This window comes from Homo sapiens, chromosome 17 (assembly GCF_000001405.40).
Source record: "Homo sapiens chromosome 17, GRCh38.p14 Primary Assembly".
Classification (NCBI taxonomy): domain Eukaryota; kingdom Metazoa; phylum Chordata; class Mammalia; order Primates; family Hominidae; genus Homo; species Homo sapiens.
Window position 1 is genome coordinate 69,755,740 of NC_000017.11, and position 26,235 is coordinate 69,781,974.

General features: G+C 37.3%; 1 long non-coding RNA gene across 2 annotated transcripts in view, besides 1 other annotated feature; it reads left to right on the top strand.

The window, feature by feature from the left end:
* Positions 1-26,235, top strand: part of LINC01483 (long intergenic non-protein coding RNA 1483) — a 309,014-nt gene that overhangs the window by 161,753 nt on the left and 121,026 nt on the right. The window lies entirely within an intron of this gene.
* Positions 5,838-7,037: an enhancer, noted in NCBI's record as "P300/CBP strongly-dependent group 1 enhancer chr17:67757718-67758917 (GRCh37/hg19 assembly coordinates)". NCBI's record gives its function as "activates an origin of replication core promoter dependent on BRD2, BRD4, P300/CBP, MED14 and CDK7 cofactors, with strong dependence on P300/CBP, by STARR-seq in HCT116 cells {active_cell/tissue: HCT116}" and the evidence as "EXISTENCE:reporter gene assay evidence [ECO:0000049][PMID:35650434]".

The following is a 26,235-nucleotide window of genomic DNA, read 5'->3' on the forward strand; positions in this document are numbered from 1 at the left end:
TTGCTTCTCTTAATGTTTTAATTTGCGATTCCAGAGAAACTCTTAAATTAGTGCAAGATTTGCAAGGATTAGCTCAAAAATTATCTTATTATATTAAACAATCCATATTATTCTTAAATTTGCATATATGTAAATAGCATGCATGATGTGTGATACTGGTGTTTATAATGCTGACTAGATAGGTCCCAAATACTAGAATTGCAAATAATTTCATTTTTACAAAAATATTTTTAATTTGTAATTTTATTTGTATAGCTTACTCTATAATTTTGAATTCTTAAAGAAAAATGACTTTTAAAAAATATATTCAATTTATTTTTTATATCTTACATATAATTTTAGTTTTAGATGAAAATACACTCAAACTTGAATACTTTGAATACAATTACATTTTATGTTTTACTCCATTAGTCCATGCTCAATCTTCTTAGATATTTGGTCAATTCTTAGTCTTATGACAAACCATAACTTAATGCGTTTCTTATTTTGTGATTACAAAGGTCTATTTGTCAAAGTTGGGGAATAGAATATTTAAATCAAGCATCATTTTTACTATTGCTCGAGCCCTGAAAATACTAAGGGCGGATTTGCCTACAATCTTTCTCGGTAACTTGTTCTAGTGGTTGTCATTCTGTTATTTGAAATATTTTTCTTGTATCAAACAGAAGTTTTCCCTACTTTATCTTAAGCCATTTCTTCTTACATTTACAATTATACACACACACACACATTTGCATACATATGGTGAACATTATCAGATGTGTTTTATAAAACATGTCTTAATAACAATTTTCCCTGAAAATGAGTATTTAGAATTGTGTTTTTGTTCTCACATTTTTATGATTGATTTTTCAGGTCTTATCTCCCTACCGTATATAGAGGTATTTCCCTACTTCTGAAAGGTAAATGAGAACTCCATGATAGTTATTATTAATAGAATAGCATTAAAAATACACATCTGAAAAGGAAACATCATGGAAATGCTTTGGAAATACACTTTTTTTCAGGTTAAGTCTTCATTTTTCTGCAGTTAGTCTAAACTTAAATTTTGTTTGGCTTGTGTATTACTAAGTGACTGTGTGGAAAACAACTGAGCTTAGCTGGCTTGGAAGTTTGGGTTCTGTCTTCTAAGGATTCTGTCATGCTGGCTGGAGGCTTAGTTGCTCATCTATAAAATATAGAGCTTCTGCTTCCAACCTACTACCTATTTCATAGACATGCAGTAATGTTTTAATGAAAAGTACTTTGAGCTCTTTGGGGGAAAGAAAAAGATGCTCTCTGTAAACAAAGAATTGGTACCAAAATATTCTTTTCATTAGGTCTTTGGATCTCCTAATGAAAGTCCAGGCTACCTAATGGATGGGGATTTATAGATGGCCAGCATATCCAAGCACACTCAAACATTAAACAAACACAGATGTGCAAATGAGATTATGAAATTGCCCAACAATGGTACAGCTTGTACCTGGAAATTGATGGAAGAGACTGATTTTTCATAACTCTAATTATTCTCACTCTCAACCATACATTGGAGACGTAAACTGTCTGAGCTTGCCATTACTGAAATGGCAATCCTTTTATAAAACTCTTAACAGTCCTCCACGGGCAAAGAAAAATTAGGAACAGATTGTCTAAAACTGGGTCTACGTTGGTCTTTGGACTTTTTTTAGAGAATTTAAAATCTCATCTAGATTGTCACAGGTACCAAGTAGTAATCCTGAAGGACACACAGCTAGTGACTTGTAAGCCAAATTTATTAATTTTGCAATTTCCCATAGATTTCAGGAATTGCTATAGAAACAGAGGCTTTGGGGGCATCTGAGAGCTGCCTAGGGCTTTGTTTTAGTATATAATATGCAGACACTCCCTGAAGGGTAACCCCACAATACAGACCAGAGGGCATTGATAAAGGTCCTGACTTCTAGGCTTTTATTATTTCCTCCCTCATTAAGTCTATGAGTGACACAAATGAAAGGAGACTTTAATGATGACAGTGACACATTTTGATTTGGATTACCCTGGTGGCCTTTTCTCTCAAATTCACTAAATTCTTGCTCAACTCTCGTCTTGACTCTCACTCATACTGGCCATCTTCTGTTACTATTTGGCAAAAGCTTTCTGCCCTAAACGTTCCTGTCTTGCACAATGGAAATGGTACTCATAAGGTCTCAATCAAAATGTCATGTGAATTATTTTACTTTTCATGAGGAAGATAAAAATAAACTAGATTGGGATTGGAAAATCCATTTCATATCATCGACCTCAAGCAGTCTTCATCTGTAGTCATTCCAGAGTGGTTTCATCTACTTTCTAACCTATCGTTGCATCTTCCTCATGGTGACTCAGGCTACCCTTCTATTGCCCAATTCTTGTTACGACTTGGGAGGTTATTGTGGTTGGTTTGTTTTTAATATCTTGCCCAATCTTTCCATTTTTTAGTTCCAGACTGTTGCGTTTAATCACTTTCAACTATCCCATTCTTTATAGAAAGACACAGTACTGTATGTGACCTAGCTCAAGTATTTTTCGATTTCATTCTAGGGTGGGTGCCTCATACCCATGGACTCTACAGAAATTGCAAGTGGGAGATTGTTATACAATTTCTTTTTATCCTCATAGTGACCAAGTTTTGGGTAATTCACAATTATCACTGCATTGATTCCTCATAATTGTCCTGTTCTGTTGGACATTAAATTCCCATTTGGTAGATGAGGAAGCTAAAAACAAGACAGTTTAGTCAACTAACTAACCCAAGGTCATCTAATTTGTAATTGACAGTGCTAGTAACTTGAATCCAAGTTTGACTAACTCCAAAACCCATTTCTGTGTATCATATACCTGCCTCCCCATTAATCTGCCTTAATTCAGTCTTACACATATTTTCCTTTGTCCATTTCTCAAAAAGTCACACTATCAATATCAACTCCTATTTTACGTTCTAAACACAACTTTTAAATTTTCATCAGAATTCTTCCTATTATTAAATTTCATTTTGCTTAAGAGAAGTAAGCACCTGGGCTGTACATACACCACCTCTGTCTGATCCTTCTCCAGGGGTTAAGCATGCATTTGGAAGCCTACATAGCCACGTGTTGTACTGCCTTTCCTTAGATACAGTGCAACAAAAATATCAATCAAAAATGCCATGCCCACAGAAACCTTAGGACCTTTATTAAAATAAACAAGCATACTTTATTCTAAGTTCCAAGAAAAAGGTTTTAATCTTTTAGTTCAAATAAATAATGTTTTTCAATAGAGTCAGAGACTGTTTCCCATGGAGCTCTGTTAGTACATGAAGCCTTTTTAGAATGTTACATAGTTATCATTTCTTCCCACTTTCATGGTTTCTTATCAAATATACATCTTACGTATTTGACTTAGTTGTGAGAAGTTGCTCATTTGATCAAAGCTACCCTGCTTATTGCAAATGTGGATTGGGAGGAGCTCTATAAACTGTTACCTCTTGTTCAAACTGTACTACATTTTTTTGGTAACCTACCACCTATATGTGGGTAGTAACAGAAACACAGCGAATGATCGTAACTTTTTCCAAGTGAAATTTCACCATCAGTTTCAATCATGCAAAGTGACTGAACATGAGATAATGGTTTTCATGGTCTTAGAATTGTTTTCCACAACATATTTTACTTTAATAAAAGTCAGGATATCATTTTGAATATTTCATTCATCCATATGAGCCTGGCTTTCATCCAGGTAGCATCACACATCATTTACTTATTTAATTTTCAGTAAGCTGGTACCATAATGGTCCAACAACAACAAAAACATTGACAAAGTTACCAAGATCTTGAAAATAATGCTTCTATCACTACCTCCAGATTTCTCTTTTTTCCCTTAATTCTTAACCGTTACTTCCTTAAATAAGTTTTCCTATTCAGTGAGCAGCTGCATAAATCATTAGAAAATGGCCAGAAATACAGAAATGCCAAAAAGCCCTCTTTTTTTTTTTTTGGTCTTTATTTTAATACAATGAACACAGGTGCATCCAGTGTGGTATTTTTTATAGCAGTGGTTCTGAGCTCAAATTAAACTTCTGTCAAACCATTGAGCATCATAGAGCTTTAAAACCAAGTGGATGAAACTAGGTCTTCAGCCTCTCTGAGTTGATTAACTGCTTTCTACTACACGGGGGTTTTCTAATATTCCTGATTTTATATTACCATTTTGTGTCAGACTTAGACTTCTAATGGAAACTTTCAATTCCAAACAGAGAAAATAATAGCAACAATAATAATTTATCTTTTGGCTTTCAATGTCTTTTCACATTCTTCTCACTTGAACTTTAAAAAAATCCAGCTAGGCAAAAGGGCAAATCTTACTCTCTCCATTTTACAGAGTAAGAAATGGAACCAGAGGAATACAACCACCCGTTAACCAAAGCTACTATTAGTCTTGCTCTCATTTGTCCTCACTCTGTGTTTCCTGGATCCAAAGCTTGATTTGTTCATTTTCTTATATAGAGAGCCAGACTTGTAGTAAGTTACCCACCTGAACTCAGCAGTGTGGGGGGAGGAGGGAGAACTGTGAGCCCTTATTAAAAGTTAAATTATATAAATAGATGATATTAAAGACAAAGGTAAAGAATACTCAAAACTAGTCACTGAGGTTACTGATGCCTAATGTATTCATGTGGCAGAAATGCTATATGGTGGGGCACTGCCATGCAGTCAGTTGACCTCACGTTGGTAGCTTGACATTGGCTATGATGGGAATCTTCACACCATAAAAGTTGGGAAACATTTTAAATCAGGTAATGTTAAGTGTTTACCAACACAACACTAGGCAGGACCATGTATACCAAAGAATAGTCAAAGAAAGAGCAAAGCCTTTCTAAGCACTAATTTAGTTTGGCTGAGATGGTGAATTGGATTGAGGTGTAAACAGGGCTAGAGAGACTCTTCACAGACTTAGAGGGCTCTAGAAATTAGAAAACCCTTGGAGAATACCTGACTCAACAACCAGATTTGACCAATGAGAAAACTGAGGCCCTAGTGGTAATCTCCCCAAAACTAAACCACAAACGCATGGCAGCTAGGGCTTGAATGACACAGAAGATTTTCTTCTCTTTCACACATTGCACATGAAATGTCTGAGTAATCAAAGTTACTGTCAGTCTCACTCTCTTTTTTTCTCTATGCTTCCTAGTTCCAAAGCTGGGCTTACTAATTTTCTCATATATAGGACCAGTCTCACTGTACATCCCTAATATTGATATTGACCTAAGAAGTATTTAAATAAATGCCAGTCCCAATCCCATCCACCCCAACATAACCTGTGAGGCTTCCTAAAGTTTTCTATTTTGAATGACCCAGAATTTCCCCCATGTTATACTTCTCTCTGCTGCAGTTCTTCTATACTTTGAATTGGGCTCCTATGCCTGATGCCTCACCAGGATTCCTTACATGTTGATGTCCTTCTACTACATCTTGCAACTCTGGCACAGATCACTTGACTAAAATGAGACTGGGAATTACAATTATTTTAGATTGAGTCATTTTCCCACCATGTTGCTCTCATCCTGTCCTCCTGCTTCTCTATCTAACACCTCCCTTCCTTTCCCTTTTCTCTCAAATCTGACCAGGTACAGAACTCCTTTTTTCTCGTCTTCTGGGCTACTACATAGCCATGCTTCACTATAACATACCAAATGTGTTCCTTACACGTCGATCTTGGCAGTAGGATATACAATCAGAATTCTCATTATTCTTGACCCAAGGAGAGAGAATTGTTGATAAAATTGGCAACAACAAGGACAAACATGATTTATTTATATATTGATTTAAGAAATATGGGAAGCCTAGCCATAAAAGGCAGTATTTTATGTACTTGGCAAAAATATGAAAAATATAATAATTGAGGGCAAAGGTGTTGCTCTAAGAATTATTCTTAGAGGTGAAATTCAGAATAGTTATTTATGGACCTGGAGACCAAATAATAAAGGGGAAAGGAATTAGGAATTTTAGAAAAATATTGTTTTAGGCAAGAAGAAAGACACACAGAGGAGGTTAGCTGGGGTAGCAGTGTGCGAGGGGAGCAACAGAGGATGCGTATGAGCAGAGAATGAGGAAGGGCTATGAGGAACTTTGAAAGGGTGGAAACTTGGACTTTTGAAGGTAGGAATAGATTGGTGGAGAGATGTGGCTACAACAGAAGTTTGGAATGAACATTGGCAAAGAATCTCCTCATGGCGTGTTGGGAAAGATGGATGAAAGAGTAAGTGAGGTGAAAGGAAGGGAAATTGAGTCATAGTCCCCCAGTCCAAATATGCACTGCTGAAGGGAATTGAGCCAACAGCAAAGCTTAAAAAGAACTCATGACTGGATATCCTCAATGAGAGTGAAACCTCTTTCTTCCAGTTCCTGCTTGAAAATATAAACAACATGCAAATTCAAACAAAAAAATTCTTCCTCTGTCACGTTGAGAAACCCTCTGTTTACTTTGTTGTTGTGACTCACTTTGAGAGTATTCTTACAAGAATGCAATTTGTAGGGATGGGCAGACCTGTAGGGGGAAAAACAAGAACCTCTCTGGAATGTTTACCCATTCTTGGGACCATAGATTTTTTTTTTTTCTACAAAGGTCTCTATTCCTTTTTAAAAGACTCAGTTTAGTTTTGGAGAGGAAAAATATCTCAGATATAACAGCATAACTGGGGTGAGGTACACAAGACTTCTAAGAATCATTTTTTAAAGAAGCAATAGAAGATGCCCAATGATGTAAAACAAAAATCACTTTTCTTAATTCAAGTTTTACCCAAGTGGATACCAAGAGACAGGAAAACTTACAGGAATGGAATGATGGATGGTCATACTTGGACGTGCTAGCCCAGGAATGAAGAAGACTTAGACATGTTATAGTTAATTGTAGCTAAATGGAAGAAAAGGAGACAGGGAAAGCAAGAGGTAAATACAGGTCAAATCAAATCAAAGAATCAAAGCCCTGTGCTTCAGATGAAGTATTTTAATGATACAAATTGTCTGTGTCAGGGGCTTAAATGTGTACATTTAGGGGTACTGTCTCAAAAAAAATGAGCTTTCTTCCACAAAACTAAAATCCACATGGACAATTTTGAATCGGATGGATGAGAAAGCAAAGTAAGTTCTCCGTAAATACACAGATGCTGTTAAAGGATTGGTGCCTTTTTTTCTTGTCTTTTTTCCTTTTTTGGAGGGTGGAGGTGGGGCTAGATAATCTTGGCTTTAGAACATTTAATCCTGACATACTTTATAAGGAGCTGCATTCAGCAAAGTCTTTTGACATTCTTAATTTGCCTATCTTTGATCTCTGGAGAGATGAATCTGAGGTTATGGTGGTTCTAAAGAAAAAAACATTAATTCAATGACACATGTGTGAGAGAGGAATGAGCTAGAAATTAGGAGAGAATATGTAGTTGGGGGGTTCAGTGGCGTTTCAGCATTTCTGGGGAGTACTGTACAGTGGGGGCTCTGTGTGAAGCCTTTGAGCCAAGTGGTTGGAGACAAGGTAGATGGTATTTTAAAGGGCATCAGAACAATACTAATTAATCTGTTTTATTTTCACCTTCTGCTTAGGATTTTTTTTTTTCTGAAAGCACTTACACTTAACAAAGAAAAACCTTATTTGAGGAGCAAATACACAATCTTTCCTAACTCTTTTTAGAAGCCAAATGCAATTCAAATACACCTAGTCCTTCCTAAAATGCTTTATGTATTTTAACAAGTAAAACTAAGAAAATTGTATTTGTTAGTGCTTTATGTGAGTATGGCTGTGAAGTGTTTTCATCAAATTTGCACAGCATTTTTCTGTGACCTAATTTCACATACAGTTATGTGGCGTACAAAGAATTAACTTTAGAGACTCCCTGGGAAATACATCAAAGAGACACTGAGTCATCTTCTTGAAAAGTTTAAAGCCAAGATTGACAAGAGGCCTGGTTCAGAACAGACATGGCATTTATACTGAGGACCATGGACAGAGAACATGGTGGGTCCTCACATGGGCCCCAAATCAAGTCTCAAGAACGAAGCCTGAAATGTTGGAATTTCGGTGACAGCTGTTTCTCACTGGGCAACTTTATGATCCAGGGTAACAGCAGAGAGGGACTTACTTAAAAATAAGGATCCTTCTGTGCCTAGCAGAGAAGGCCAACTAGTATCCAGAGAAAACACTGGGAAAAACTTTGTGGTATTCAGTGGGTTACAAGATTGCCATCTGCATATATGATTTTCCTCTTCCATCTGTAGGTAAGTTATGTCCCTGGAAGAAAGCAGACCTGTCTCATGTTATTATTAGATTGATTTGTGTTCACAGTTTTATTTTCCCAATAAGATAGCAAGAGGCAATGCTTTCTAATTCTTTTATAATTCTTCATGGCACTTAGGATAGGGATAGGCATACAGCAGTTGTAAAATACATATTTTTGGTTAATAAGTTTAAATTGAAAAGTTGGGTAAGTGAATCAAAGATTCAGTTAATTCATGGTTCTGAAGGTTAGACCCGTAAATCTGTAAAAGTCTTTCAAATTGCTTTGATCATGCAATGAAAGTGAATTGCATTTCTTTTTCAGCAGAGTTTGTTTTGCAATCTGAATTTTTTGGACTTTGCTTTGAAAAGGTTGAAATGAAAGGCATGGCAGTGAATCAGCAATTTAAGAAGGTTAACAATTAGTCATAACTTTAATAGATGAGACAATTACACCATCTTTATCTTTTAAAAATAACTACATTTTTAATTAGATTTTAATCATAAAGGTCAGAGGTAGTGTAAGTTTAGAAAATCTGAAACAAAGTGTGTGTTGGCAAAACTACTTAATCTCAGATGTGTTAACTTGGCCAAATTAACTGAAACAGATGGTGAGAAGCTTTTGTTCCTTAAGTCATCAATTGCTGATTGCATGATCTTCATAATCTTTAATATTTTAAGACGCAGTCTCAGAACTCAGGTTTGTAAGTATTGCTTTCTATTTGTTTATTCCTTAAAATATTCTATAAGATCTCTGTTATTTGCTCTTGGCTTTAACAAAGTGCAATATGACCATTTAAAAAACTTGGTACCTCATTTTTGACTTTGCTTCTGTTAAACATATGACTCTCCTGCTTCTTGATGCATATTTTAGACCTTCATGAGCCATCAATTTTGAAAGTGCTAATTTCAGATGAACAATATTGACTTCAGCTGACAGTTGTTGCTCTGGTTACCTATTACTGTGTAACAAATGACTCTAACACTGTGGTACAAAACAACGATCATTTTTATCATATTCATCACTTTGTGTGTCAGGAATTGCAGGATACATCTGGGATTGCTGATCTGTGCTCGATACTGATTGGGACCTCAGGTGGCATATGGCTATGGCTTTAATGGCTGGAGTTGGCTGGGATGGCTAGACTAGGATATTGGTATGGGATGGTGGTTGCCTTCCTTACTTCTTCTCTATAACACATCTGCTGTGCTGAAATGTCCACAATAGCTTTTTAACTCATGTGTCTGGAACTTGAATTGCAATGGCTGGAAAAGGTAAAGCTGGCCAGGCATTCTTCTCTCCTCTCCTCTTCTCTACTCCCTTCCCCCTCCCCTCCCCCAGTCGCTCCCCTCCCCTGCCCTCCCTCTTCCTTCCCTTCCCTCCCCCTTCCCTCCCTTCCCCTCCTTCCTCTGTGCTCCCCTCCCCCTTCTTCCCTCCCCTCCCTCTCTTCTTCCCTCCCCTTCCCCCTCTCCTCCTCCTCCTCCTCCCCTCCCCGTTCCTTTCTGCTCTCCTCCCCTCCATTCCCTTCCCCTCCCCCTTTCCTCTTCCTTCCCCCTTCTTCCCTCCCCTCTCCTCTTACTTCCCCCTTCTTTCCTCCCCTCCCCTCCCTTCCTCTCTCCCTTCCCCCTCTTCCCTCCCCCTCTTCTCTTCCATCCCCTTCTTCACTCCCCTCTCCTCTCTCCCCTCCCCCTCTTCTCTTCCCTCCCCTCTCCTCTCTCCCCTCCCCTCCCCACTCCTCTCCCCTCCCCTTCTTCCCTTCCCTTTCCCCTCTATCCTCCCCTCCCTTCTACCTTCTCCCCTCCCCTCCCTTCTACTCTCTCCCCTCCACTCCCCTCCCCATCCTTACGCCTTTCCTCCCCCTCTCATCTCCCCTCTCCCCTTTCCTCCCCTCCCCTCCCCTCTCTCTTCCTCTCCCTTCTCCCCTCCCTGCTCCCCTCCTGCCCCTCCACAATCCCCTTCCCTCTCCTCCTCTGTCTCTCTCTCTTTGCATGTGACTTTTTCACATGACTAGCTTCCTCACAGCATGGTGGTTTCAGGGAAGTCAGATTTCTTGCATGGCAGCTGGCTTCTCCCAGAAGAAGCTTTCCCATAGAGGGAGCATGAAAAGGCCCAGGTGAAACTGCAAGACTTCTTGTGACCTGGTCTTGGAAGTCCTGGGATGTCACTTCTACCATATTCTATTGGTCAAACAAGTCACTAAGGCCAGACCAGATTCAAGGAGATGGAAGGAATGAGCTTGACGGGATGTGGCACATATGTACAGGGAGGAAAGGAATTAATTGATGGTGACCATTTAGGAGACAATCTACCAAATTGCCTTTTTGTTTTATGAACTAGATTTCTGTAACAGAACCCTTGTCCTCACCCTCAGGGCTCTCTTTTTTTTTTGAGACAAGGTCTCACTCTGTTGTTCAGGCTGAAGTGCAGTGGCACCACCTCAGCTCACTGCAGCCTTGACCTCCTAAGTTCAAGGAATCCCCCTGCCTCAGCCCCTCAAATAGGTAAGACTATAGGCATGCACCACCATGCCCAGCTAATTTTTGTACTTTTATTACAGACAGGGTTTTGCCATGTTGTTCAGGCTCATCTGGAACTCCTGAGCTCAAGTGATCTGCCCATACTGGCCTGCCAAAGTGCTAGGATTGCAGGCGTGAGCCACTGTGCCTGGCCACTTTTTTTTTTTTTTTAATATTTGATGTTTTAATTTTCTGTTGTTCCATGTGTGCTATTATTTCAAAGACAATCATCAAAGGATCAGTATTTTAACATCAATTTTAAATTTTCTACTTTTATTGCAAAATGCTGTTTCAATTTGCCTAACTCAGTTTTACATCAACAAACAGAAAGAAATGCTCCCAATTTTTCAGTGATACTAATCACTAAACTTCTTCAATTATACCTTTGTTTTCAACCATCACCTTCAGCAATTATGTTGTTTATGCTAGGGCATTTTAAAGGTTAGGAAATTCATTTCTACTATATATGAGAGCTTTAATTTTTTTTTAGTTCAGGGTTTTCAGCTAGAGCAGAGAGTTGATCTAATTATCTGATTCATTTGGGCTTTAAACCCATTGAACAGACATAGACAGATCTTATAATGTCACATAGTCCCAGTTTGCTATTAAGAATCTACGTGTCTTTGACAGCTATTTCTCTTGGCAATTTGAATTAAGTTGTGACACTGAGTTGGCTCCAGGGAAACATCTGAGTCAGGCAGAATTGGTCTTTGATGTTTTATATTTCCATTTAAGGACTTCAAATTTCCCAAGACATCCTACTTTTTAGATTTCTAGAGTCCTTAATAGCACCTCCCCCTCATCCCAATACAGGAGTCTGTAGAAGGTGCTTGCACTCACTATGACCACAGAGGTATATGATCATTCCTGAGACTGATGATACTGAATAATTGAAGTGGGTACCACTTGGGGAGTTCTGAGAATATGGTTTGTTTCTCTAACAAGTGTTAGAAAACCCAACTCAAATTAGCTTTAACCAAAAGAAACGATTCGAACTACTACAGTCTACGACTATGACTACAGTCATGCCTCATTTTATTGCACTTTTCTCTAAGGCACTTCACAGATAATATGTGATTTTACAAATTGAAGGTTTGTGGCAACCCTGCATCGGGCAAGTCTGTCAGTGCTATTCTTGCAACAACATATGCTCACTTCATGTCCGTCTGTCACATCTTGGTAATCCTTACAATATTCCAAACTTATTATTATATTTATTATGGTGATCTGTCATCAATAATATTTGATGTTATTATTGTAATTCTTTTGGGGAACCACAAACTGTGCCCCTCTAAGACACCAAACCTAATCAATAAATGTTATATGTGTTCTGACTGCTCTAATGACTGGCTGTTCCCCCATTGGTCTCCCTCTCCTCAGGCCTCCCAATTCCCTGAGACACAACAATATTGAAATTAGGCCAATTAATAACCCTACAAATGGCCTCTAAATGCTGAAGTGAAAGGAAGAATTGCACACCTGTCACTTCAAGTTGAAAGCTAAAATGATTACACTTAATGGGGAAGGCATGTCAAAAGCCAGGCAAGGCCAAAAGCTAGGCTTCTTGTGTTAAACAGTTAGCTAAGCTGTGAATGCAAAGGGAAAGTTCTTAAAATTAAAAACACTACTCTGCAAACACACAAATGATAAGAAAGCAAAATTGCCTCATTGCCGATAAAGAGAAAGTTTGGGTGGTCTAGATAAGAGATGAACCAGCCATGACATTCTCTTCAGCTGAAGCCTAATCCATAGCAAGGCCCTAACTCTCTTTAATTGTACGAAAATTGAGAGAGGTGAGGAAGCTGAAGAAAAGTTGGAAGCCAGCTGATATTGGTTCATGAAGTTTAATCAAAGAATCATCTTCATAAGATAAAAGTGCAAAGTGAAGCAGCAAGTGCTGATATAGAAACTCCAGCAAGTTGTCTGGAAGATCTAGCTAAGACCATTGATGAAGGTGGCTACACTAAACAACAGATTTTCAGTGTAGACAAAACAGCCTTCTATTGGAAGAAGATGTCATCTAGGACTTTCATAGCTCGAGAGGAGTGGTCAATGCCTGGCTTCATAGATTGAGAGGACAGGCTGACTCTCTTGTTAGAAGCTAATGCAGCTGGTGACTTTAAGTCAAAGTCAATGTTCATTTACCATTTCAGAAATTCTATAGCCCTTAAGAATGATTCTAAATCTACCCTTCCTGTGCTTTGTAAATGAAACAACAAAGTCTGAATGGCAGCATGTCTATTTACAGCATGATTTACTGAATATTTGAAGCCCACTGTTGAGAAAAAAAAAAAGTCTTTCAAAATTTATTGTTCATTGACAATGCACTTAGTCACCCAAGAACTGTGCTGAAAATTTCCAAGGAGATTAATGTTTTCATGCCTGCTAACACAACATCCATTCTGTAGTCCATGGATCAAGGAGTAATTTTGACTTTCAAAATTTGTTTCTTAAGAAATACATTTTGTAAGGCTATAGCTACCATAGATATTGATTCTTCTGTTGGTTCTGGAAAAAGTAAATTGAAAACCTTCTGGAAAGACTTCACCATTTTAGATTTCATTAAAAACATTCATTTTTTTTTTTACCAAAAAGTCATTCAGGAGCAAGACTGAATATCTACGTAACTGTGTGGTTCTGAGAGATTTTCTTGGTATTGATTTCTATTTTTATTGTACTGTGGTCTGAGAGTATGCTTAGTATGGTTTTGTTTTTTTGAATTTATTGAGAGTTGCTTTATGACTGAACATGTTGTTGTTCTTAGAGTATGTTTCATATGCATATGAGAAGAATGTTCATTCTGTGTCTGACGGGTTGGAGTTACCCTGTAGATGTCTATTGGGTCCAATTGATCAAGTGTCGAATTTAAGTCCAGAATTTCTTCGTTGGTGTTCAGCCTTGATGAACTGTCTAATGCTATCAGTGGGGTGGTGGAATCCCCCACTATTATTGTATGGCTGTTTAGGTCCTTTCATAGGACTGGAAGTACTTGTTTTATGAATCTGGGTGCTCAAATGTTGGGGGTGTATATATTTAGAATAGTTAAGCCTTCTTGTTGAATTGAACCTTTTATTACTATGTAATGCCCTTCTTTGTCCTTTTTTGCTGTTGTTGGTTTAAAGTCTGTTTTATCTAATATAAGAATAGTGAGCACTGCTTTTTTGTGTGTTCCATTTATGTGATAGATATTTCTTAAACCCTTTACTTTGAGCCTATGGGTGTTATTACATGTGAGATGGATCTCTTGAAGGCAGTAGATGAATGGTTCCTATTTTTTATTCAACTTGACACTATGTGCCTTTTAAGTGCTGTGTTTAGACCACTTACATTCAAGGTTAATATTGAGGTGTGATAACAACAACTTATCACAAAGTTGTTAGCTAGTTGCTTTGTAGTTTCCATTGTGTGATTGCTTTATAGGGTCTGTGGACTATGTATTTAAGTGTGTTTTTTTGATAGTGGGTATTATTCTTTTGTTTCCATATTTAGAACTCCCTTAAGGACCTCTTGAAAGGCTTGTCTAGTAGTAATGAATTCCCTTAGGGATTGCTTGTCTGAGGAAGAATTTATTTCTCCTTCATTTATGAAGCTTAGTTTGGTGGGATATGAAAGTCTTGGTTGGAATTTCTTTTCTTTAAGAATGCTTTAAATATGCTCTCAATCTGTCCTGGCTTGAAAGATTTCTGCTGAAAGTCCCCTGTTAGCCTGATAGAGTTCCTGCTGTATATGATCTGACCTTGTTCTCTAACTGCCTGTAAGTTTTTTTTCTTTAGCATTGTCTTTGAACAGTCTGGTGACTATATGCCTTGGTGATGGTTATTTTGTATAGTATCTCACAGGTGTTCTCTGGATTTATTGTACCTGGATGTCTGCCCCTCTAGCAAAATTGGAGAAATTTTCTTAAAATTGTTCCCTCAAATATATTTTCCAGGTTGTTTTCTTTTTTCCACCTCTCTCAGGAATGCCAATAATTTGTAGGTTTTGATTTACATGATCCTATATTTCTGAAAGACTTTATTCATTTTTTTGAATTCTTTTTTCTTTATTTTTGCCTGACTGGCTTAGTTTGAAAGATGGGTCTTCAAGCTGTAAAACAATTTCTTCTACTTGGTCTAGTTCATTGATAAAGCTTTCAATTATGTTTTGAAATTTCTTAAGTGAGTTTCTCAATTCCAGAGGCTCTGATTGATTTCTTCTTAAGATGTTTATTTCTTCCTTCATTTTCAATGGAGAAATTAAAAAATTCTTTGAAGTAAATTAAAACAGAGACATAACATACCAAAATATCTGGGATGCAGTGTTAAAAGGAAAGTTTATAGCATTAAATGGCTACCTCAAAAAGTTAGAAATATCACAAATTAACAATCTGAAGTCACACCTAGAGGAAATAGGAAAAGAAGAGAAAACTAACCACAAAGCTAGCAGAAGAAAAGAAATACCTAAAATCAGAGTAGAACGGATGAAATTAAGACTCAAAAATTTATATAAAGAATCAACAAAACCCCAAATTGGTTATTTGAAAGGATAAACAAGATCAATCAACTGCTACCTAGATTAACAAAGAAAAAATGAGAGAAGATCCAAATAACCACAATTAGAAATGACAAAAGTGACATTGCAACCAGTCCTTCAGAAATGCAAAAAAATCCTTAGAGACTGTTATGAACACCTCTGTGCACACAAACTAGAAAGTCTGGAGGAAGTGGATAAATTCCTGGAAACACACAAGATCCCAAGATTGAATCAAGAAGAAATGGAAGCCCTGAACTGACCAATATTAATTTCTGAAATTGAACCAGTAATAAAAAAAAAGCTACTACTACTAACAACAACAACAACAACAACAACTCTATCAGATGTGCAAAGAAGAGCTGGTACCAATACTACTAAAACTACTGCAAAAAATATCAAAGAGTAGCGACTCCTTCCTAATTCATTATATGAGGCCAGCATCACCCTTATACCAAAACCTGGCAATGACACAATGAAAAAAGAAAACCACAGGCCAATATTCCTGATGAACATAGACACAAAAATTCTCAATAAAATACTAGCACACTAAATCCAGCAGCACATGAAAATGTTAATTCTCCATGACCAGGTAGGCTTCATTTCTGGAAGACAAAGTTGGCTCAACATACACAAATCAATAAATGTGATTCACCACATTAACAGAATTAAAAGCAAAAACCATATGATGATCTCCATAGATACAGGAAAAGCTTTCCATACAGAAAGTCTACATACTTTAATAATATAAACCCTCAAGAAACTAGACATCAAAGGAACATATCTCAAAATAATATGAACCATGTATTACAAATCCACAGCCAACATTGTACTGAATGGGCAAAACTGGAAGCTTTTCGCTTGAGAACTGGAAAGAGACAAGGATTACTACTCTCACAATTCCTATTCAACATAGATCTGGAAATCCTTGCCACAACAATGAGGCATGAGAAAGAAATAAAAGGGATCCAAATAGGAAAAGAAAAAAATCAAACTATTTTTCTTCTCTGACAATATAATTTTATACCTAGAAAACCCTAAAGACTCTGTCAAAAGGCTGCTGCAACTGATAAACTACTTTGGTAAAGTTTCAGAATACAAAATTGATGTATAAAAAAATCAGTAGTATTTCTATACACCAATAACATTCAAGCTGAGAGCCAAATCAAGAACACAGTCCCATTTACAAAAGCTACCAAAACAAAAAGCTAGGAATGCATCTCACCAAGGAGAGGAAAGATCTCTACAAGGAGAACTACAAAACATTGGTAAAAGAAATCATAGATGACTCAAAATTGGAAAAGTATTCCAAGAACTGGAAGAATTAATATGATTTAAATGACGATACTACTCAAAGCAATCTACAAATTCAATCCTATTCCTATCATGTTACTAATGTCATTTTTTTTTCACAGAATTAGAAAAAGCTATTCTAAAATTCATAAGTAGCCAAAAAAGAGCTCAAATAGCCCAATGGATCCTAAGCAAAAAGAACAAAGCCGGAAGCATCACATTACCCAACTTCAAACTATTAATAGAAGGGTAGAAATAACCAAAATAGACATGGTACTGGTACAGAAACACAAACACATAGACCAATGTAACAGAATAGAGAACCCAGAAATAAAGCTGCACACTAACAGCCATATAATTTTCAACAAAGGCAACCTCAGCAATGGTGAAAAGACTCCCTATTCAATAAATGGTGCTAGAATAGCTGTCTAGGCATATGCAGAAGAAGGAAACTGGACTCCTATCTTTCACCACATACAAAAATTAACTCAAGATGAATTAAAGATTTAAATGTAAGATCTCAAACTCTAAGAATCTTAGAAGAAAACCTAGAAAACACCATTCTGAACCTTGGCCTTGGGAAATAATTTATGACTGAGTCCTCAAAAGCAACTGCCAAAAAAAAAAAAAGAAAAAGAAATTGACACATGGGACCTAATTAAACTAAGGAATTTCTGCACAGCAAAAGAAACTATCAACAGAGTAAGCAAACAACCTACAGAATGGGAGAAAATATTTGCAAACTATGCATCCAAAAAAGGTCTGATATTCAAAATCTGTAAGGAACTTACACAATTGAACAATCAAAAAACAACCCCATTAAAAAGTAAGCAAAGGACATGAGTGGACACTTCTCAAAAGAGAAGACTTACAAGCAGCCAATAAACATAAGAAAAAATGCTCAACATTACTAATCCTCACAGAAATGTAAATCAAAACCACAATGAGATATCATCTCATAATCGTCAGAATGGCCATTATTAAAAAGTCAAAAAACAATAGATGCTGGTGAGGCTGCAGAGAAATACGAACACTTATACCTTGTTGGTGGGAATGTAAATTAGTTCAGCTAATGTGGAAAGCCATTTGGCAATTTCCGAAATCACTTAAAATAGAATTACCACTTAACCCAGCAGTCCTATTTAACTGGGCATAGATCCAAAAGAAAATAAATTGTTCTACCAAAAGAATACATGCTCATACGTTCATTGTAGCACTATTCACAATAGTGAAGATATGGAATCCACCTAGATGCCCATCAACAGTAGATTACATAAAGAAAATGTGTAGATTAATACACAGCCATTAAAACAATGAGATCATGTCATTTGCAGCAACATGGATGCAGCTTAAGGCCATTATCCTAAGCGAATTAATGTGAAAACAGAAAACCAAATACCACATATTCTCACTTATGAGTGGGAGCTAAACAGTGGACACTTGTGGACATAAGGATGGCAACTGGGGACACCTAGACGGGGAGAAGGGAGGGAGGCAAGGGTTGGAAAACTGTTTTGGACTGTTTGCTCAGTACCTAAGTGACAAGATCAATAGTACCCTAAATCTCAGTATTGTGTGATATATCCATGTAACAAACCTGCACATTTACCCTTAAATCTAAAATAAAAGTTGAAATTATATAAAAAAAGAACATTTATGATTTGTGGGAGGAGGTCAAAATATCAATATTGACCAGAGTTTGGAAAAAGTTGATTCCAAACCTCATGGATGACTTTCAAGGGTTCAAGACCAGTGTACAAGGTAACTGCAGATGAGGTGGAAATAGCAAGAGAACTAGAATTAGATGTGGAGCCTGAAGATGTGACTGAAATGCTGCAATCTCATGATGTAACTTGAATGGTGGGAGAATTGCTTTTATGGATGAGCAAAGAAAGTGATTTCCTGAGATGGAAACTGCTGCTGCTGATGCTGTGAACGTACTTGAAATGGCATATGGAATATGGAAAAGGATATTCCATAAACTTAGTTGATAAAGCAGTGTCAGGATTTGAGAGGTTTGACTTCAATTTTGAAAGAAATTCTATTGTGGGTAAAGTGCTATTAAATAGCATTGCATGCTACAGAGACATCTTTCATGCAAAGTAGAGTCAATCAATGCAGCAAACTTCAATGTTGTTTTATTTAGAAAAATTGCCACAGCCATCATCACCCTGATCAATCGGTAGCCATCAACAAGGCAAGACCCTCCACCAGCAAAAATATTATGACTTGCTCAAGGCTCAGATGATGATCAGCATTTTTTAGCATTATTTTTATTAAGATATGTACACTGTGCTTTTACATACAATATTATTCCACACTTAATAGACTACAGTATAGTGTAAACATAACTTTTATGTGCACTGGGAAACCAAAAATTTGTGTGACGTGCCTTATCGCAATATTCACTTTGTTGCAGTATTCTGGAATCAGACCTACAATATCTCTGAGGTCTGCCTGTACCTTATTGCATCACTTGAATTAGGCTCAAAGGCCGGCATCAGTTTCTCTAGGATGTCTTTATTGTCACACTTTGGTGGTGGCAACTACCCAACATGATATTTTGGGAAATTTTGAAGGGAGAGTTGACTTCCTCAAAAGCTCAAGTAGAATCTCCAAATGGAGCCTGGGGCTCTGGTTGGTCTAGCCTGGGGTAGGTGCTTACATCTGAATTTGTGGCCTGGGAGATGAAATGCACTGATTGCCTTCACCTGGCGTCATTCTCCACTCTTGGAGCTGAGAACTGGTATTAGCTCCACCACAAACATGAAGGCTGAAAGTAAGGGAGTGTACTCCCCTTAAAGCAAATACAGGGTGCTCCTGCCACTGGAGTGAGACTCAATGGTGGGCAGCAGCACCAACAATGATCACAAAATAACCACAATCATGTCTTCTCTTCCTCTGCCTTGTCTGTTTCCTCACACTGCCAACTCTGCTCCCCCTGCATTCCCTCAGCACCTCTGTTTTGATGAGTTGTCAAGAAGAAATAAAGGTCTGTGATGGCAGGTGGTTTTCTCCCAAACCTTGATCTCTCAATCTCTCATATTTTTGTAAGGATTCCATGGAACACTTTGTGTGCCTCAAACTTAAAAAATGCCATTTCCAAAAATAGTCCTTTTTTTTCTCCTGTGCCATCTGCATTTCTCTTTTGTATAGCCAAAAACCAAACATTCTCACACATGTTCATTTACACAAATAGAACTCCTGAGATTATTCCCATTATTATACACTAATTTCCATTTATACTCCTTAGCCCGAAAGGTGAGATTAGGAGAAGACTATACGGGAAGGAAGAGAATAGCAAAAATGATGCATGTGGTAGGGAATGGAAAGCTATCACTTCTGTGGGTTATGGATGACATGCCCCTATTTCATGGGAATTTTACATGGTCTTGTCTGTTCTGTAAGTTTGAAGTCCAAATGAATTAGGTAACTGTATCAACTCCCTACTTCATCTGTTATTTTTATGAATGAAAATCGTAATTGAGGGGGCACTAAACATATTTTTGGAGAAATGAAATGGGGTGGTGTGCTGCCTTAATTAGTTTCTCTAAGGAGATTTGATTTCATATCAGCTCTTATATTTGAAATTTGTACTTTTAATTAGAAGTGAGGACTTACACATAACATTTCATCTTTTTAGTGTTAAATTCATCTTTTCTGATATGTAGCATGGAACATCCTTATGTACACAGGAGTATAATATCACAATAATTTCTTATTCTGGGGAGTTATCACATTTTTTCTTATTTGATCAAACACTTGGAAAACCAGGAATTAACATAAAATAAATCCCTGTACAAACTAATCACCATTATTTTCTTGCATTCTTAATCTGAGATGGTAGAAAAGAAACAACTCCCCCCCTCAAAAAAAAAAAAAGCCAACAAACACTATAAATTTCATGGTAAAAAACCACGTTGCAGTGCCCCACGTGATATGTGATTCAATGTCGGTGGCAATGTTGGTAGCTATCTGGAAGAAAAGGATGTTTCTGTCAGAATCTATGAGGTGTGCACCTTTGCTTTCTCTTGGCCTTCTGCCCCAGAGCCTCTGTAATCATGTCATTTTTTGCTGTATGGCAAGCATTGCTCTCTGAAAATTTGGTGTAAGTTCTGGGAATAGGAGAGGTATACAGACGTGTGATTGGTAAGGAGAAGGTGGGAAGCAAAAGGATATTATCAGTTACTAAACTTCTAGATACTGTGTAGGCGCACTTCCTAAATCTTCTCATATTATTCATCATAACAATGCTAAGAAATGGTTATAATTATTATGATCATTTTACAGTTGAAAATCTATGGTTCAGATAAGTTAGAAACCTTAACCAAGGCAAGACAGTAACAGACTTGCTATTTGAAGTGAGGCTTCTAACTCTAAAACCCATGTCCTTCATACACATCTTTTTGATTGCATGGCTAACACCGTGCTTCTAAACCCTGCAGCTTTTTCTTTAAAAAAATTTGCCTGGCTTTGACTAAGGCTGACTTAGGGTTTTCTGTTCCTTAACCGTGAACTTCTAACTTCTTTTAGCATACACACAGCTCTGGTTCTATGTCTTAATGGATTCTTCAGAGTGCACCCTTTTCTCCTTTGCTTTTTCACATTAGAAGAAGTCTAGTTATACCTGTTTTGTCCTCTGCCCGCAAATTAATAGCCATCGTGTGACTGCATATCAGTGAAAATGCTGTGCAGGCTCAATAGTTTTACCTTTTACAGGACAGGTTATGTCTGCATCTACAACTACATCTATCTCCTTATCAGTATCTGTATCTATTCATACGTATCTTCCTACTTCAAATACCAGCACTACCATAGTTCTATAGTTAATAGAAGCTTGTTTATATTTGTCTTTTATATTTGTTTCCTTCTTTAAAATCTTCCCCATCCTGCTCCCAACTCTGCCACGGATGACTCATATGAACTCTGGAAACCTCTTGTTCCTTGTATAATTCAAGGATTATAATAGTAGTCTTTTTTTTTTCCTTTTCTTTGTTTTTTTTTCTTTTTTTTTTTTTTTTTTTTTTTTGAGATGGAGTCTTGCTCTGTCACCCAGGCTGGAGTGCAGTGGCGCGATCTTGGCTCATTGCAACCTCCACCTCCCAGGTTCAAGCAATTCTCCCACCTCAGCCTCCTGAGTAGCTGGGATTACAGGCGCCCACCACCATGCCCAGCTAATTTTTGTATTTTTTTAGTAGAGACGGGCTTTCACCATATTGGCCAGGCTGGTCTCGAACTCCTGACCTTGTGATCCTCCTTCCTCGGCCTCCTGAAGTGCTGGGATTACAGGTATAAGCCACCGCGCCAGGCCTACTCTTTTTCTTCTTATTCTACTTTGTTTATTTTTGCTTCAATTTTATTTTGAACTAATTTTGACTTGGAGAAAAGTTGCAAAAATAGTAAAAAGAGAGTTCTATACCACTTATCCCACTTCCCCTTACGTTAATATCTTGCCTAACCATAGTATAATAATCATAAACAGAAAATTAATGTTGTTTCAGTAATATTAACTAAACCGAAGATTTTATTCAAATTTCACCACTTTTTCACTAATGGCCTTTCTCTGTTTTAAAATTCTGCTTTTACTTTTGGAGGCCGAGGCAGGCAGATAGCTTGAACCCAGGAGTTTGAGACCAGCCAAGACAACACAGCGTGACACTGTCTCTATGAAAAGAAAAAAGTTAGCCAGGTGTGGTGGTGTGTGTCTGTAGTCCCAGCTACTGGGGAGGCTGAGGTGGAAGGATTGCTTAAACCTGGAAAGTGAGCCGTGATCATGCTGTGATCATACCAGCCACTGCATTCCAGCCTGTGTGTCAGAGCAAGACCCTGTCTCAAAAAAAAAAAAAAAAAAAAATTAAATTAGGCCAGGCACTGTGGCTCACGCCTGTAATCCCAGCACTTTGGGAGGCCGAGGCGAGCAGATCATGAGGTCAGGAGTTCAAGACCAACCTGGCCAACATAGTGAAACCCCGTCTCTACTAAAAATACAAAAAAAAATTAGCCAGATGTGGTGGCAGGTGCCTGTAGTCACAGCTACTTGGGAGGCTGAGGCAGGAGAATCACTTGAACCCTGGAGGCAGAGGTTGCAGTGAGCCAAGATCACGCCATTGCACTCCAGCCTGGGCAATACAGCGAGACTCTGTCTCAACAACAACAACAACAACAACAACAACAACAAAATTAAATTAAAATTAAAAAGATTATGGTTTATTTTTGTCATGTCACATTACCATCAGAAATTGTATTGTTGTTTACTTTTATTTGTTAATTTTCCATTTTCTCACCAGCATATAATCTCTGTAAAGGTAACAAATTTATTTCTTGTCACTAGGCCCTCAATGTTCAGGAAATTGTCTAGCATAGAGAAGGTGCTAAATATTTGTTGAAGAAAGGAATGGATAAATGCTCCTAGAAGGCAGGGCTGATATGGCCTGCATGTTGTTTATTCATGAATTTTGAAAAGAAGCACATGCCCATGGAAGAGTTAAAAAGGGAATGATGCTGGGAAGGATAATTTTTTCCTTTTGTTAGCTGATTACTTCTCTACTATTATGGGATGCTTTCGTGTCCATCAAATATTTAGCAAAAGGTGATGAAAGGTGGGAATGTTCTAGCAGATTCTGGGTGCCTGGAATCTACCAATCAATGGTAGAATGAAATGCGAACGGTAACTCAAATTGCAACTTAAAGCATCTGCTTAAAAAGCCCCACAAAAACTTGAAGAGATTGCCAATGCAATGGAAGAAAAATGGCTTCTGGGAATAAAATGTTGTAATCTGTCTTTAGCTACTCCTATGATCAAGTGTAAAATTTGGATATCTGCATGTAAACATGTGTTGATTCACAATTAGAAAAAGAGATTCAACATTTTAAACTAACCTGATAACAATTTTTCTATAAAACACCACTTAGACAATTTTTGCTTTGTCTGAATAATGCGTACTAGCTATTGTAAGTTATCAATCTTGGAATTTTCACCCCCTCCAACAAGCTCCTCAAAACTATGATCTCTTATAATGTTGCCAAGCCTTTTCAGATGATTCTCTGGCTTAAATTTGATATTTGCTTATTATGGAGTAGAAAAAGTCATCTGAAATTTGATCATGACTTCTGGGAAATGGAGTCTTTTTCTTTTCATCTTATTTTCTGTAAGTTAAAGAAAATGGAAAACTTTCTATGTGTAAGTGATACCATTAAATGTGATTTACATTCAGAAAGACAGCTCTTGATGGTATAAACTGCGTTGGCCTTTGTACAGAAAGACACAGAGGAACAAAACAATGAGCGCCTCTCCATAAATAAGATATATCAGAGTTATAATGGATAAGTTTACTTTTCTTCACTAGGAAAACATGAATCACTTTATAAATCTCTTTTTTAAATCATATCAAATTTAAGGTTTCTTTCTCTTGGGTTAGAAGAAGAATTTTAGCTATTTCCTATGCGAAAAAGGAATTATTTGTTTAACTACTCAGTTAGTTTGTCCAGTCAGGCTTTTGTTACGTAAAGAAGGTTACCCAAAGTTAAAGTGTGAAGCAACTTGTACTATTGTTTGTGTTAGTCACGATTCTCCAGAGAAACAGAACCAATAGGATCTATGCATATCTATGAGGAGATTTCTTTTGAGAATTAACTCATGTGACTACAGAGGCCTAGAAGTCCCACCTTCTACCGTCTGCAAATTGGAGAACCAGGAGAACCAGTGGTGTAATCCAGCCTGATTTCGAAGGCCTGAGAACGTGGGGAGCCAAGGATGTAACTTTTAGTGTGAGGTCAAAGCCCTGAGAACTGGTGGGACCATTGCTATTAAGTTCCAGAGTCCAGAGACCTGAGAACCTGAAGCCCTGATTTCTGAAGTCAAGAAAAAACAACATCCCAGATGAAGATGAGAGAGAGAGAGAATTTGCCCTTCCTCTGTCTTTTGTTCTATTTGAGTCCTCAACAATTGGATGCTGCTAATTTGCATCGTTAGGGGGCAGATCTTCTTTACCCAGTCTGCTGATTGAAATGCCAATCTCACAAACATCCAGAAATAATGTTGTATTAGCTATGAGTATTTCTTAACCCAGTCAAGTTGACAAAAATCAGCCATCACATGGTTTATTCCAGTGTATTGATAGTAATGGATTGAATTCCAGTGTGTTGATTCTAATGTATTGTTCCAATGTGTTGATTCACAATAAGAAAAAGAGATTAGTTTTAAAAGAATGTGAGAAAATGCTTTACTAAACGTCACTTAATTTGATAATTTTTGCTTTGCCTGAAGAATGCATAAAAGTTATTGTAAGTTATTGAACCCATTGTTTCCACCCCCTCCAACAAGCTCCTCAGCCTTGTCTATTCGCCCATGCTTCTAAGCAGGGTGGATGTGATGGATAGGGTGGGTCAAGAGTCAATACAAATTATTGGGTTCAGTGGATTGGAGGTGGGGATTCAAGCAAATCTTTTAAAATTTTTAGGTAGGTTGTCCTTGCTAGGGGTTCCCCAAATGTTTCTGCCAAAAGAAAACCCATATTTGTTGCCCAGTTCTGTGGCTCTAAATGGCCCCAGCTTTTGGAATCAGCCTTGGTTTTGTCCTTTGTCATGTCAGCATCTATTTTTGTCTATTCAACTTTCAAAATATCTATCCAGATTCTGATGTCTTCTGCCTCTCTCCTCGCCACTTGCTCCAAGCCTGTGCTTCCAAATTTGCCCAGTGAGAAGAATCACTTGAGAAACTTATTGAATACATGAATTGCTGAGCTCCATCTCAAGCGTATTGAATCCAAATTTTTTCAAATGTTGCAAGTCTTGTATTTTTTATTTGTCTATTTTTTAAATGGATAATATTTTAAAGGACAAATTATAGTTGCTCACATTTATGGAGCAACAATACAATATTTTGATAAATGTATACAATGTGGAATGATTAAATCAAAGTTTGTAAAGGGTCCAAGGTGACCCTTGTCAAGCAAGTATGAGATTTGCAGAAATCCACTGTCATTTTTCCTACCTGGCTTGTTGCAAAAATCTTCTAATCGATCTTCCAGCTTCAGCTCTGGTCCATTTTCTAAATGGCAATCAAAGGGGTCCTAATAAAAAGCTAGGTCATTTCTGTGTAGAATGTTACTGAGATTGCATTGAATCCATAGATCACTGGGTAGTACATATATTTTAACAATGTTAATTCTTCCAGGCCAAGAACACAGATTGTCTTCCATTTATTTATATCCTCTTCAGTTTCTTTCATTAAGGTTTTACAGTTTTCATTGCAGGTTATTTTTCACATCTTTGGTTAAATTTATTTCTAGGTATCTTTTTTTGGTAGCCATCGTAAATGGAATTGCTTTCTGTTTCTTTTTCAGAGAGTTTGCTATTGGGATATAGAAATGCTACTGATTTTTGCATGTTGATTTTGTATCCTCCAACTTTACTGAATTTGTTTATTAGTTCTAACAGTTTCATAGTAGCAATTTTAGAGTTTTCTATCTGTAAGAAAATGTAGTCTGCAAACAGGAATAATTTAACTTATTCCTTTCCAACTTAGATGTCTTTTATTTCTTTCTCTTTCTCTGACTAGACCTTCCAGTACTATGTTAATAAAAGTGGTGAAAGTGGGCATCCTTGTCTTATTCCAGATCTTAGAAAAAAGCTTTCTATTTTTCCCAGTGAAGTATGATGTTCGCTGTGGGTTTG